The sequence below is a fragment of the Homo sapiens genome, chromosome 14 (assembly GCF_000001405.40).
Source record: "Homo sapiens chromosome 14, GRCh38.p14 Primary Assembly".
In the NCBI taxonomy this organism is placed as follows: Eukaryota; Metazoa; Chordata; class Mammalia; order Primates; family Hominidae; genus Homo; species Homo sapiens.
This window is the reverse complement of record NC_000014.9, coordinates 39,653,473-39,669,568: the sequence shown is the minus strand read 5'-3', so window position 1 is coordinate 39,669,568 and position 16,096 is coordinate 39,653,473. Positions and strand designations below refer to the sequence as shown.

Here is a 16,096-nt window from a genome sequence, read left to right as displayed (position 1 = left end):
CGGAGGGGGACAAAAAGAGTTCTATGGTAAAATCTATTTAGAAACACTGAGTAAACACCATGGAACAGATTCCCTGACACCACTGTACAGATTTAGTTGTTCACCATAATTGTTAGTCTCCTAGAGAGGGGGAGAATATGCAGTAGCCCCATTAAATCAGTCTTTTACAGAAACTTTTGGGAGCTAGTATTCTGAAGGATACATAATGAAAAAGAAATACTGTGCTTAGATGTCTAGACCGGGTATCTGATGATTAGTGAATGTTTGGACTTATAGTAAGGGCTTGCACTTAAAGTCTAGTTCTCAGTGCCTGGAATGGTTTCTTTTCGATCTTTCAAATCTTGTCTCTCAGGTCTCATCTTAAATATCACTTATTCAAAGAGTCCTTCTTTGTCCGCTTCATCTAAAGTAGCCAACTCTCTCCTCTTCTATCACATGCCCCACCCCCATCATTATTACAACAGTATATTTCTTTGACTAAACTTACCACTAGCTGTAAATATTTTCTTTATTTACATGTTTGCTTTCTTCCTGCTTCACTAAACTGTAAGTTCCATGAGGGCTGAAGGCCTGTCCTATTTGTCTAGACTAGTTTAAGGCTGGGTTTCTAGTGGCTACTCAGTAGATACCAGTTGGGGGAATGGATAAAATGTAAGTATTATGCATTGGGATCTGAAGAACAGAAGAGAAATCTGGGCTTACTTATATATTTGGAAATAATTAGGCATAAAGGTGGTATGTGAATCTATAGATGTGAATGGGCTTGTTCACAGAGAATGCACAGAAAGATAAGAGAAATGAGCCTAAGCCAGAAGAACCCTGATGTGGGAGTAACTATCATCCAAGATCGTCCACAATGATTCTCACTTCCTGGTATTCAAGCTGGTGTGTAGTCTCCTCCCAAACTGAATAAGGCTGATCTGTGTAACTAGTAAGATATTTCAGTTGTGGCAGAGTTTGACTTACAAGCCTAGATCACAAAAGACATTGTGGGTTCCTTCTTCCTGTCTCTTAGATCACTCATCCTAGAGCAAGTCAAATGCCATGACATAAAAACATTGAAGCCTTCCCATGAAGAGATCCACATGACCAGAAACTGGTGTCTCCTGACAATTGCCAGCACCAACTTGCCTGAACATGAATGAACCAATGGAAGCAAATCCCTGAGACAAGCTATCAAGTGACTGTAGCGCTGGCTAGCATCTTGTTTACAATCTCATGAGAGATCCAAGTGAGAAACACCCAACTAAGCCACTCCCAAATTTGTTTTAATAACTTATCCCAAAACTTAGTGTTTCAAGAAACAATATATTCTTAATAAAAAGTTTGTCCAGTAAAAGAATATCCCAAATTTATCTTATAAATTTAACAAAATTTCATACCACATCTCTTTCAGCATTATCTTAGAGTAAATCATCCTTTACAATGTTGGCTTGTATTCTTGAAGAAAACAATTAGGTTTTTTTTTAAAAAAGTCAAATTCAGCAAAATCAGAAACCAGGCAGCCAATATTTAACAAATAGATGGCAAAAGAGGTACAATATATTAAACAACAATCTTTTAATGCAGGGCATTTAAGACTACAGAAATAGTTGTAGAAATAGAATGGTATCTTATGCAATTCCATGAACAAAATTTTACATTTCAAATGATTAGCTCGTTTCTCAAGAAAAAAAGAATAAGAACATCCCTTGTTGAGTGTCTGTTAAGCGTCAGGCTCTGAACTATGGGCTTTACATATGTTATCTCTTTTAATAACCCTGTGAAGTAAATATTATTGGCCCCATTTTGACTTGCCCAACAGAGCTTCCTCATCTCAGCTTCTCAGTCCTTTTTTGCTTGTGTTTTTAAATTTAGGTTAGAGAATTGTCATTTGGAGAATATCAGGTTCAGACCAGGTGAATCTTCTTTTAAACCCCTCTTAGGAATGAAATACTCTCTTCAAAGGGAAAAACATTAGATAATGAAGCAAGGAGTCCTTTGAGGAGGACAATAAAAACTTAGATTTTCAAGTGGAGCAGCTAAAGTTTTAAAGTATACATATTCAGAATATATAAGGAATAAATAATATTGTGTTTGAGCTGGAAGAACCTGAGAGAACATTTATCCAAGCCCTCTTATTTTACACAGAAAAAGAAATGGGATACTTTAGCTCAGCATAGTCTGTCGAGACCACATGGTGGGTTAGTAGCCTAAGCAGAACTAGAAACAGCAAAGCTGGCCCTGTTAGAGCTACAACTGTGCTTGGCACTTAGTAGATGCTCAGTAAATTAGATTAGGCTATGATGCATCATCCTAAAACAAGTACAGTCCCACCAATACTGAGTAAGAACTCCGAGCCTCCCCCTGGAAACCTGTTGTGTTCACTCTCTTTCTTTCCAAGCCATTAGCATCAAGAGTTAAACTGTAGAACAGCACCTAGCTTTGGTGACACTGAAGAGAAGAGAGCTAGGAACGTTGCCATTTCCTTAGAGCATGCTCCAGTTATCTATTGTTGCATTAAAAATCACCTCAGGGTCAGGAGCAGTGGCTCATGCCTGTGATCCCAACACTTTGGGAGGCTGAGGTGGGCAGATCGTTTGAGGTCAGGAATTCGGGACCAGCCTGACCAACATGGTGAAACCCCATCTCTACTGAAATACAAAAATTAGCCAGGCGTGGTGGCAGGTGCCTGTAATCCCAGCTACTTGGGAGGCTGAGGCAGGAGAATCACTTGAACCCAGGAGGCGGAGGTTGCAGTGGGCTGAGATCACACCACTGCACTCCAGCCTGGGCAACAGAGTGAGACTCTGTCTCCAAAAAGAAAAAAAAAAAAAAGACACCTCAAAACTTAGTGGCTTAAAAAACAGTAATCATTTATTTTCCTTACAAATCTAAAATTTGGGCAGGGATCAACAGGAATCATTAATCTGTGCTCCACACAATGTCATCAAGGGCAGCTCAGCTGAGGGAGGGCTGGAGGACCTGCTTTCAGGATGACTCACTCATATGGCTGGCAAGTGGGAGCTGGCTATCAACTAGAAGTTCAACTAGAGCTATGTGCAGGTGCCCATGAGGGGTTTTGCACTGGCTGCTTAGGTTTCCTTGTGGCATGGTAGCTGGGTTCCAAGAGCAATGATCCTAAGAGATAGGAAATAGAAGCTGCTAGCTTCTTAAAGCCCAAGCCAGAAATGGGCACAGTGGGACTTTCATTGTGTTCTATTAGTCAAACAGTCACAAGGCCCTAATTCAAGGAAAAGGGATAAAGATCCTACCTCTTAATGAAGGAGTATCAGAGAATCGATTGGTCGTGTTTTAAAGCCATTACAAGGGTATTTTTTTAACTGCAAATGATTCCATTTTGCTGATATGGTAAAGAATTGAACATTATTAGAGATAAGTCATAGATATCAAAATTATAATCTATTCAGAGATATTAATCCCTTCACCATATACTAATCAGCTTAGATAGATGACAGTCCTACAATTAATGCTCAATCTTTGCCTCCATTTACTCTTCCACATTAAGGGGATAATAATAAGCTCTATTGTGGGGAACCAGAAGGCTTATTTATAACTATAAAAGCAGAATGTACTTATAATTACCTTAATACATACTTATTAATAGTGAGTTATCTGTAAAATGTCATACACAAGTGAAAGGTAAAATTATTATATGCTTAAATAATTTTGCAACATGGAGCCTTTGCAGTTTACTTGGACAACTATTTTTGTGCCTGAACTGCAGAAGCTTTCAATTAATTTTGCTGAACACAGTTAAATATTAATCCTATTTTTTAAAGGATAATTATTATGCAATCCTCTTAAGTATTCAATTGAATTGACAAGAAAAAAAGATTTGTGGCTTTTAACGTTTACAAAAGGAGCAGTATCTCACGAACAGCACAGAATTTCAGAGCTTCTTTGCAAATAAATCACATTTTACAATATATTTCTAGGTCAATATGCAACATATTCATTCAGATTTCCCCACAACAGTCCTAGGAATTGAATTGTATTCAACAGCAGACCCTTTCTAACAATATTTAGAAATAGGAGAATTGAGTTGCTTTTCTCGCTATAACAAACAGGAAATTTTCAAGTTTAACTAAGGTGATGTAAGAGAAGATCTTAAAACTAGTTCTGCTTAAAAGGAGGAGCCAGTCAGTACCTTATTTAGTTTACAGGCACAGTAACCAATTGGGATTTTCCCACAGGGGTCCTAGGATTTAGGTAAAATGACTTTCTGTTAGGCAATTTAGACCACAGAAAGTAATAACTTCCTCAACGAAGCCACTTATGGAAAGATTGGTTAAATAAGATGAGATTTGTCCTAGCTAAAAATGGGACCTGCAGCTGTGAGGTTGGTTTCTCAGGGACCAGAAGAGAGGGAGCTTTATTACCCAGTTAAGCTTTCTTATTGCAAGAAAACAAAATGAGTATAAAACATGAGTCATACTCAGCCAGCCAGTGGGCCTTATTTATGCATGTGTATTTTATGCACATATGGTGATTTAAAAAGCAATGTTAGTTTCATTGTCATCCATTTCACTTATTTCTGTATGTCACACATACTTCCTACAGAATTTTAAGTTTCTTATCTAGAGAATTACTGGATTAATACAAATTTATTTTTAAGGACTTCTCAGAGTACATTTGGGGTCAAGCTTTTCTAAGCCAACTAAAAGATGACACTGTCTACGCTAAATCAGACTCTGTGTGAGAGAGAATCCAAGTGGATGATGAATACAGTCACCAGAAGTATGGCCTCTACCATCCCATAAGACTATAGCCTCCACACTGGACTTTTCCCTGACCCACTAACACCTTCTCTGTCAAGTTTCTTGCCATCCTTTACTCACTAACACTTAGGAGATGGTGAAATGCTGAGAAGGACTCTTAAGAAATGAAATGCAAGAAGTTAAAACCCAGAGGTGAATATAGGCTACGAATTATAAATAAACATGCAAAAAAGTTTATGTAAGTTAGAGCAAAAAGAAAGATGGGAGAGGGGTGGGCATTCTGAACACAAAGAGGGGATAACCACTTTAATCTAAATATAATACAAGGCCAAGCCTGAATGATCTTAGTTACCCGGAAAGTTTCAACAAAACTGGCCTAGGCTTCTAACAGCCAGAGCTTTGATTGTGACAATCTGCTCAGTACAAATGACCAAAATGGAAAGCCACGATCATGGTTTGTTATATAAAACATTTCCCTTCATTTACTAATGTCAAAATATTCTGTCACTTGTTAAATTACAAATTATGAGCCAATTTTTGAGCATGTCCTCACCAAGGTTTAGAGAATTACAGTAGTTGTGAAGGAATTAAAAAACATGCATTCACTGTAGATTTCGACAAAATCCATAAAACTGAAGGGTTTTCTTTTTAATAGCTTCCCTAGCAAACCACATACTGTGCTCACTGAAGCACAAAGTATAAAGAAATGACTGAGCAATATTAAAAGGTGGAGAGCCAGATCCTTTTCTCTATAGTGTTTTAATGTGAAAATAAAAGGTACCGGGTAACCCTTGGCTCCTCCAGCCGGGACACCAGCGCCATGTCCTTCCTCCTGCTGCCAGAACAAAGAGTTACCGGAGAGCCCATGCCCTCCCCATAGGAAGAAAAAATTTTAAGGTAAAACTTCCAACCAGATTTTCCAATCTCACATTTTCAAACAAAGCAGTCTGCTTGTCTGCAAGAAAGTTTGGTGAAGCAGATTTTGTTTCAGATTTGGACTAAAGATTTTGTTTCAGATTTCGACTAAAGATAATACTGCTTCCATCCATTCAGGTTGCATGGAGATGGTTGTTCTTTTCAACAAGATATTGTTTTGTTTACAGTCCAATATATTCAAATATTTAAAAGTCTAGACTAGACTTTGAAATAAAGAATGATGCTGCAAAATATCTTGAATTCCCTGGAATTCTTGGACTCACACTAAGACATCCAAACACACCCCACACTGGGCATATGGTAAAGTGTATAGAGTCAACACCATAGTAGGGACTTACAAACAATAACTTCACAATCACCCAATATCTGTATGAAGCATAACTGGTATGAATAGAAAATACAGTATTTTCTTACATGTCAGTTTCAAAATTCTCCTGGTGGAAATACTATTTCCCTTACTCCCCTATGCCGTCCTTCCCCTCCACCACCATCACTAACAGGTGAAAAAGAGGACCCATGGCCACCTGCAGCCTGTAAATTTCATATGTTATCTATTTAGTGGATTTATCCAGTTTGTTAACAACAGATATACTTAAATACATTCCAATATGCCTCACATTAACATACCACTTTTTTTCTTGTCTACACTGTATTTCTATACAAAACAAAATGTTTCCCCGCCAAGCACAGTTGAAAACTATCACCCATCATGTGTTATACAGGTGCCTGTGCATTCTCTCTCTTTCAGGTATCTTTATACAAAGACTTTTCTAATCACAACACAAGTTATTTTTAAACTGTCTTTTTCCTCAGGCAAAGACAATGATTCCTTAGCAATGGAATACACGTAACATCTACAAACAGTAGGAAGATGTAACTTAAAATGAAAAGTATATTTTCTCAATGCTCAAATGGCATCGGTGGAATTTTCGGAGTTCAAGAGCTGGAGTTGCCAATGAATAATAGAGAGAAGTCTAAGGGTATGTAAAAGAAAAGTAAGATAAGATGGACAGTTTTATTCCTGTCGATCTTAAATACAGTTCCATGCAGCTCTTAGAAGTGTCTGCCTGGGTCAGATGGTCAGGGTGCTCTAAAATCCTACAGGTTTTCCTTTTCTTTTCTTCTTTTCATCACTATGAGAATATTTCTCCTTTCACATACTATTAAAGGATCTTCTGCTATTGAACTATTTCTTACAGCATGTTCTTTCTTGGTTCAATTGGATTCCTTTTAATATCTGAAAAAGTGATAGCCTCACTTTATTAATATAATAAAGACACACTATGAAATCAGATTTCCTGTATTGGAGTCTCAGTTACAACATTTGTTAGTTGTATGACCTTGGGCAAGTCACTCAAATACTTTGTGCTTCAGTTTCCTCATAATGGAAATAATAAGAGAACATCAGAGGGTTGCTGAAAAGATTCCATTTTAAAAGGTAGGCAAATCATTTAATAAGGTATGTTGTACTTAGTAAATGCTCCATAGATATTGACAAATAACTAAAAATCTTTTTTTGGGGTGGGGGACAGAGTCTCACTCTGTTGCCAGGCTAGAGTGCAGTGACACGATTTCAGCTCACTGCAACCTCCACCTTCCAGGTTCAAATGGTTCTCCTGCCTTAGCCTCCCGAGTAGCTGGGACTACAGGCGTGCACCACGATGCCCAGCTAATTTTTGCATTTTTAGTAGAGACGGTGTTTCACCATGTTGGCCAGGATGGTCTCCATCTCTTTCGTGATCTGCCTGCCTCGGGCTCCCAAAGTACTGGGATTTTGGCGCCCGACCAAAAATCATTTTTTAAAACTGAGTGGAGTTTTTTTGCTGATGTTGTTTTCTTAATTATATTGCTTAAGTATCCTTTCTTTTTTTTTATTTTATATTATTATTATTATACTTGAAGTTTTAGGGTACATGTGCACAATGTGCAGGTTAGTTACATATGTATACATGTGCCATGCTGGTGTGCTGCACCCATTAACTCGTCATTTAGCATTAGGTGTATCTCCTAAAGCTATCCCTCCCCCCTCCCCCAACACCACAACAGTCCCCAGAGTGTGATATTCCCCTTCCTGTGTCCATGTGTTCTCATTGTTCAATTCCCACCTATGAATGAGAATATGCAGTGTTTCGTTTTTTGTTCTTGTGATAGTTTACTAAGAATGATGATTTGCAATTTCATCCATGTCCCTACAAAGGACATGAACTCATCATTTTTTATGGCTGCATAGTATTCCATGGTGTATATGTGCCACATTTTCTTAATCCAGTCTATCATTGTTGGACATTTGGGTTGGTTCCAAGTCTTTGCAATTGGGAATAGTGCCGCAATAAACATATGTGTGCATGTGTCTTTATAGCAGCATGATTTATAGTCCTTTGGGTATATACCCAGTAATGGGATGGCTGGGTCAAATGGTATTTCTAGTTCTAGATCCCTGAGGAATCGCCACACTGACTTCCACAAGAGTTGAACTATTGTACAGTCCCACCAACAGTGTAAAAGTGTTCCTATTTCTCCACATCCTCTCCAGCACCTGTTGTTTCCTGACTTTTTAATGATCGCCATTCTAACTGGTGTGAGATGGTATCTCACTGTGGTTTTGATTTGCATTTCTCTGATGGCCACTGATGGTGAGCATTTTTTCATTTCTTTTTTGGCTGCACAAATGTCTTCTTTTGAGAAGTGTCTGTTCATGTCCTTCGCCCACTTTTTGATGGGGTTGTTTGTTTTTTTCTTGTAAATTTGTTTGAGTTCATTGTAGATTCTGGATATTAGCCCTTTGTCAGACTAGTAGTTTCCAAAAATTTTCTCCCGTTTTGTAGGTTGCCTATTCACTCTGATGGTAGTTTCTTTTGCTGTGCAGAAGCTCTTTAGTTTAATTACATACCATTTGTCAATTTTGGCTTTTGTTGCCATTGCTTTTTGTGTTTTAGACATGAAGTCCTTGCCCATGCCTATGTCCTGAATGGTATTGCCTAGGTTTTCTTCTAGGGTTTTTATGGTTTTAGGTCTAACATGTAAGTCTTTAATCCATCTTGAATTAATTTTTGTATAAGGTGTAAGGAAGGGATCCAGTTTCAGCTTTCTACATATGGCTAGCCAGGTTTCCCAGCACCATTTATTAAATAGGGAATCCTTTCCCCATTGCTTATTTTTCTCAGGATTGTCAAAGATCAGATAGTTGTAGATATGCGGCGTTATTTCTGAGGGCTCTGTTCTGTTCCATTGATCTATATCTCTGTTTTGGTACCAGTACCATGCTGTTTTGGTTACTGTAGCCTTGTAGTATAGTTTGAAGTCAGGTAGCGTGATGCCTCCAGCTTTGTTCTTTTGGCTTAGGATTGACTTGGTGATGCAGGCTCTTTTTTAGTTCCATATGAACTTTAAAGTAGTTTTTTCCAATTCTGTGAAGAAAGGCATTGGTAGCTTGATGGGGATGGCATTGAATCTATAAATTACCTTGGGCAGTATGGCCATTTTCACGATATTGATTCTTTCTACCCGTGAGCATGGAATGTTCTTCCATTTGTTTGTATCCTCTTTTATTTCATTGAGCAGTGGTTTGTAGTTCTCCTTGAAGAGGTCCTTCACGTCCCTTGTAAGTTGGATTCCAAGGTATTTTATTCTCTTTGAAGCAATTGTGAATGGGAGTTCACTCATGATTTGGCTCTCTGTTTGTCTGTTATTGGTGTATAAGAATGCTTGTGATTTTTGTACATTAATTTTGTATCCTGAGACTTTGCTGAAGTTGCTTATCAGCTTAAGGAGATTTTGGGCTGAGACAATGGGGTTTTCTAGATATACAATCATGTCTTCTGCAAACTGGGACAATTTGACTTCCTCTTTTCCTAATTCAATACCCTTTACTTCCTTCTCCTGCCTGATTGCCCTGGCCAGAACTTCCAACACTATGTTGAATAGGAGTGGTGAGAGAGGGCATCCCTGTCTTGTGCCAGTTTTCAAAGGGAATGCTTCCAGTTTTTGCCCATTCAGTATGATATTGGCTGTGGGTTTGTCATAGATAGCTCTTATTATTTTGAGTTACATCCCATCAATACCTAATTTATTGAGAGTTTTTAGCATGAAGGGTTGTTGAATTTTGTCAAAGGCCTTTTCTGCATCTATTGAGATAATCGTGTGGTTTTTGTCTTTGTTTCTGTTTATATGCTGGATTACATTTATTGATTTGCGTATATTGAACGAGCCTTGCATCCCAGGGATGAAGCCCACTTGATCATGGTGGATAAGCTTTTTGATGTGCTGCTGGATTCTGTTTGCCAGTATTTTATTGAGGATTTTTGCATCAATGTTCATCAAGGATATTGATCTAAAATTCTCTTTTTTGGTTGTGTCTCTGCCCGGCTTTGGTATCAGGATGATGCTGGCCTCATAAAATGAGTTAGGGAGGATTCCCTCTTTTTCTATTGATTGGAATAGTTTCAGAAGGAATGGTACCAGTTCCTCCTTGTACCTCTGGTAGAATTCGGCTGTGAATCCATCTGGTCCTGGACGCTTTTTGGTTGGTAAGCTATTGATTATTGCCACAATTTCAGAGCCTGTTACTGGTCTATTCAGAGATTCAACTTCTTCCTGGTTTAGTCTTGGGAGGGTGTATGTGTCGAGGAATTTATCCATTTCTTCTAGATTTTCTAGTTTATTTGCATAGAGGTGTTTGTGGTATTCTCTGACGGTAGTTTGTATTTCGGTGGGATCGGTGGTGATATCCCCTTTATCATTTTTTATTGCGTCTATTTGATTCTTCTCTCTTTTCTTCTTTATTAGTCTTGCTAGTGGTCTATCAATTTTGTTGATCCTTTCAAAAAACCAGCTCCTGGATTCATTAATTTTTTGAAGGGTTTTTTGTGTCTCTATTTCCTTCAGTTCTGCTCTGATATTAGTTATTTCTTGCCTTCTGCTAGCTTTTGAATATGTTTGCTCTTGCTTTTCTAGTTCTTTTAATTGTGATGTTAGGGTGTCAATTTTGGATCTTTCCTGCTTTCTCTTGTGGGCATTTAGTGCTATAAATTTCCCTCTACACACTGCTTTGAATGCGTCCCAGAGATTCTGGTATGTTGTGTCTTTGTTCTCGTTGGTTTCAAAGAAGATGTTTATTTCTGCCTTCTTTTCGTTATGTACCCAGTAGTCATTCAGGAGCAGGTTGTTCAGTTTCCATGTAGTTGAGCAGTTTCGAGTGAGTTTCTTAATCCTGAGTTCTAGTTTGATTGCACTGTGGTCTGAGAGACAGTTTGTTATAGTTTCTGTTCTTTTACATTTGCTGAGGAGAGCTTTACTTCCAGGTATGTGGTCAATTTTGGAATAGGTGTGGTGTGGTGCTGAAAAAAAATGTATATTCTGTTTATTTGGGGTGGAGAGTTCTGTAGATGTCTATTAGGTCTGCTTGGTGCAGAGCTGAGTTCAATTCCTGGGTATCCTTGTTGACTTTTTGTCTTGTTGATCTGTCTAATGTTGACAGTGGGGTGTTAAAGTCTCCCATTATTATTGTGTGGGAGTCTAAGTCTCTTTGTAGGTCACTCAGGATTTGGTTTATGAAACTGGGTGCTCCTGTATTGGGTGCATATATATTTAGGATAGTTAGTTCTTCTTGTTGAATTGATCCCTTTACCATTATGAAATGGCCTTGTTTGTCTCTTTTGATCTTTGTTGGTTTAAAGTCTGTTTTATCCAAGACTAGGATTGCAACACCTGCCTTTTATTGTTTTCCATTTGCTTGGTAGATCTTCCTCCATCCTTTTATTTTGAGCCTATGTGTGTCTCAGCACATGAGATGGGTTTCCTGAATACAGCACACTGATGGGTCTTGACTCTTTATCCATTTTGCCAGTCTGTGTCTTTTAATTGGAGCATTTAGTCCATTTACATTTAAAGTTAATAGTGTTATGTGTTAATTTGATCCTGTCATTATGATGTTAGCTGGTTATTTTGCTCATTAGTTGATGCAGTTTCTTCCTAGCCTCAATGGTCTTTACAATTTGGCATGATTTTGCCGTGGCTGGTACCGGTTGTTCCTTTCCATGTTTAGTGCTTCCTTCAGGAGCTCTTTTAGGGCAAGCCTGGTGGTGACAAAATCTCTCAGCATTTGCTTGTTTGTAAAGTATTTTATTTCTCCTTCACTTATGAAGCTTAGTTTGGCTGGATATGAAATTCTGGTTTGAAAATTCTTTTCTTTAAGAATGTTGAATATTGGCCCGCACTCTCTTCTGGCTTGTAGAGTTTCTGCCGAGAGATTCGCTGTTAGTCTGATAGGCTTCCCTTTGTGGGTAACCCGACCTTTCTCTCTAGCTGCCTTAACATTTTTTCCTTCATTTCAACTTTGGTGAATCTGATAATTATGTGCCTTGGAGTTGCTCTTCTCAAGGAGTATCTTTGTGGCGTTCTCTGTATTTCCTGAATCTGAATGTTGGCCTGCCTTGCTAGATTGGGGAAGTTCTCCTGGATAATATCCTGCAGAGTGTTTTCCAACTTGGTTCCATTCTCCCTGTCACTTTCAGGTGCACCAATCAGATGTAGATTTGGTCTTTTTACATAGTCCCATATTTCTTGGAGGCTTTGTTCTTTTCTTTTTATTCTTTTTTCTCTAAATTTCCCTTCTCACTTCATTTCATTCATTTCATCTTCCATCACTGATACCCTTTCTTCCAGTTGATCGCATCGGCTCCTTAGGCTTCTGCATTCTTCAGGTAGTTCTCGAGCCTTGGCTTTCAGCTCCATCACCTCCTTTAAGCACTTCTCCGTATTGGTTCTTCTAGTTATACATTCATCTAAATTTTTTTCAAAGTTTTCAACTTCTTCGTCTTTGGTTTGAATTTCCTCCTGTAGCTCAGAGTAGTTTGATCGTCTGAAGCCTTCTTCTCTCAACTCGTCAAAGTCATTCTCCATCCAGCTTTGTTCCATTGCTGGTAAGGAGCTGGGTTCCTTTGGAGGAGAGGCGCTCTGCTCTTTAGAGTTTCCAGTTTTTCTGCTCCGTTTTTTCCCCATCTTTGTCGTTTTATCTACTTTTGGTCTTTGATGGTGGTGATGTACAAATGGGTTTTTGGTGTGGATGTCCTTTCTGTTTGTCAGTTTGCCTTCTAACAGACAGGACCATCAGCTGCACGTCTGTTGTAGTTTGCTAGAGGTCCACTCCAGACCCTGTTTGCCTGGGTACTAGCAGCGGTGGCTGCAGAACACCGGATTTTCGTGAACCGCAAATGCTGCTGTCTGATCGTTCCTCTGGAAGTTTTGTCTCAGAGGAGTACCTGGCCGTGTGAGGTGTCAGTCTGCCCCTACTGGGGGGATGCCTCCCAGTTAGGCTGCTGGGGGGTCAGGGGTCAGGGACCCACTTGAGGAGGCAGTCTGCCCATTCTCAGATCTCTAGCTGCGTGCTGGGAGAACCACTGTTCTCTTCAAAGCTGACAGACAGGGACACTTAAGTCTGCAGAGGTTACTGCTGTCTTTTTGTTTGTCTGTGCCCTGCCCCTATAGGTGGAGCCTACAGAGGCAGGCAGGCCTCCTTGAGCTGTGGTGGGCTCCACCCAGTTGGAGCTTCCTGGCTGCTTTGTTTACCTAAGCAAGCCTGGGCAATGGCGGGCGCCCCTCCCCCAGCCTCACTGCCGCCTTGCAGTTTGATCTCAGACTGCTGTGCTAGCAATCAGTGAGACTCCGTGGGCGTAGGACCCTCCAAGCCATGTGCGGGATATAATCTCCTGGTGTGCCGTTTTTTAAGCCCTTCGGAAAATCGCAGTATTAGGGTGGGAGTGACTCGATTTCCCAGGTGTCGTCTGTCACTCCTTTCTTTGACTAGGAAAGGGAACTCCCTGACCCCTTGCGCTTCCAGAGGGAGGCTATGCCTCGCCCTGCTTTGGCTCGCACACGGTGCCCTGCACCCACTGTCCTGTGCCCACTGTCTGGCACTGCCTACTGAGATGAACCTGGTACCTCAGATGGAAATGCAGAAATCACCCGTCTTCTGCGTTGCTCATACTGGGAGCTGTATCATTTCTAATCGTATATCTTTTAGACTTCTGTCTAGTTTTCTTTAGTACTTAATTTAGTTCGCCTACATCACTTTAGTATTCAGTTACTTAAAATCATAACACTTACCTGTGGTTTCATCTCAGAACTGTAGCTCTCATATTTGCAACAGAAAAAAGCTGGACCAACAGCACACTAATGGCTTTTTGTGAACCCATCAGAAAGCTAAAGTCGAAGGATAATAGTCTTCCTGAAATCTAGAGAGATGTGGGGTACCTATGTAAAAATTAGAGGGCTGTGGTGGACACAGGAATCATAAAATCAGCCAGTCCTTTTGCTGAAATACATTTCTAGTAGTGCCATGGGTGATTTGAAAATAGTCTTGTTCCTTTTCTTCATTCCCTTGCACACTCTGTCTCCTCTTCTCCATGGCTCTGAAGGAAGAAAGGAAAGCAGAGAAACATTAAGGAAGTCCTGGGCTGGATAAAGCTAAACTGCTAAGTAAGCACTGATAATAAAGTTTGATCCCTTCAAATCAGACCTAATACTCAAACTTAGGCATCGTTAAACTAGAATTTTAAATTACTTTCATGGCAAAACAACCAACAGAACCAAAGACAGGTATGCAAAAGTAATCAAAAAGCATTTACCGCTACCTGCTTTATCCAACCCCCGGGATAAGAGTCCTCATGTGACACCACAATAATCCAAACTGCTACCCCATCTATACTTTCTTTCTCAAAATATACCTCTCTATCCTTCATCTTCCCAATCGTAACTACCAAAATTTCCCTTTCCCTAGTGGCTGCCAATCTCAATAAGGGAAATAATTATTGTCTGTTGTTAAAGTGTATTTTTGGGTGATGAAATAATCTGTGTAACAAACCCCCATGACACGCATTTACCTATGTAACAAATCTGCACATCCTGCACATGTACCTATGAAGTTAAAATAAAAGTTTTTAAAAAAGGAAAAAAAATTCAAATGCATTCTTACTTATAAATTACACACAGAATTAAGGCTTCCCATTTAGGAGAACATCCATTTCTCTCTGACAACGTCATCAAAGAAGTGTTCTTCTTCCAAGATTTTCTGTCAACAACCACATTCATAGATCAAGCTATGTTTACCATGGTGGAGCAAATCACTACTATTCCTGCACCATCACCATCAAAATGTTTTTATTTATTTTTTTATTTGAAAAACACAAAAAAGTAAAAATTACCCACAATCCCTTGGTTCTATAATTAAGTAGGAAATAAAAGCCTCCCCCCATCTAATCCAATACCCATCATTGTTAAGACCTCACAGTGTAGTCTTCCCAACTTTTCCTATATTTGTACAACTATGTCTATATTTACATATCTATATGTAGAAATATATAAAATATAAATATTTGGATCTTTACAATAATACATTTATACTTACATTTATTTACTTGCATTTATTTTCATATTGGTCTGAAACCTTATTTTTTACATAATATATCATGTATATATTATCTTGTTCTTATTTTCAAACCTATTCTCAAAAGAGCACTTACAATTGTGTCTAGAACATAGTAAGCACTCAATAAATCTTACTTATTATTTTCATTATTATTTCCTCCTTTTTCTAATATATGCATACTGTTCCACTTTATGGATACACTTTTCACTTACTGAGAGGTATTTAACTTGCTTCTAATTTTTTGCTTTTATAAACAGTGCTGCAGTGAGTTTCCCTCTTCTTTCTAGGTGATAGATTTCAAAAACTTGGGTGGCTAGGTTAAAATATATAAACATTAAAAATTTTAAAATACATGCCAAGGCATTACCCACAAAGGCTTATACCATTCTACACTTATACTAACAGTGTCTAGGAATGCCCATTTCCCCCATCGCCATCAGCACTGAGAGTTAGCATCTTTCCCTAGTTCGTTGGCTGTGTGTGTACATGCACATGTGTGTGAGCCTGCACATGTATAATCTGTTCATACTTTACCCATTTTCCTAATGGACTGTAGTTCCTCTTATTATTTTATGAAATATCTCTGCATACTAGTTATATAACTCTTTGTCTACCTTGTATAATACAAATATTCCTCTCAGAATGTCATTTGGTTTGAATATTTTAGGTTAGTTTCCCATGCACATATTTTAAATACATGCATACTCAAATGCTTTTTTCATTGTGGATTTTTAAATTACATTTTGCTTTAGTTGACAATAATTGTATGCATTTATGTGGTACAATGTGATATTTTGATATGTTTCCATTGTGAATGATTAAATCAAGCAAATTCCATCACCTCACATACTTACCGATTTTTTTGTGGTGAGAAGATTTAAAATATAATCTTTAAGCCATTTCAAAATATACAATGCATTGTAATTAATTATAGTCACCATTCCATGCAACAGATTACTACATCTTTTTCCTACTCTCTAACTAAAATTTTGTATCCTTGAATCAACAGCTCCCA

General features: G+C 38.6%; 1 long non-coding RNA gene across 13 annotated transcripts in view; it reads right to left on the bottom strand.

Moving 5' to 3' along the window:
• The window catches only part of LOC105370461 (uncharacterized), a 433,650-nt gene that overhangs the window by 196,430 nt on the left and 221,124 nt on the right, over positions 1-16,096 (bottom strand). For 8 of the 13 annotated variants that reach the window (XR_001750723.2, XR_007064121.1, XR_007064122.1 and 5 more), the window contains 2 exons: positions 14,629-14,724; positions 13,761-14,065 (listed from right to left, as the gene is read on the bottom strand). This is a non-coding gene — a long non-coding RNA (uncharacterized LOC105370461). Of the gene's footprint in view, positions 1-1,543; positions 6,895-13,760; positions 14,066-14,628; positions 14,725-16,096 lie in introns of those variants that run through there. The other 5 variants (XR_007064127.1, XR_007064128.1, XR_007064125.1 and 2 more) reach the window with 2 other exon arrangements.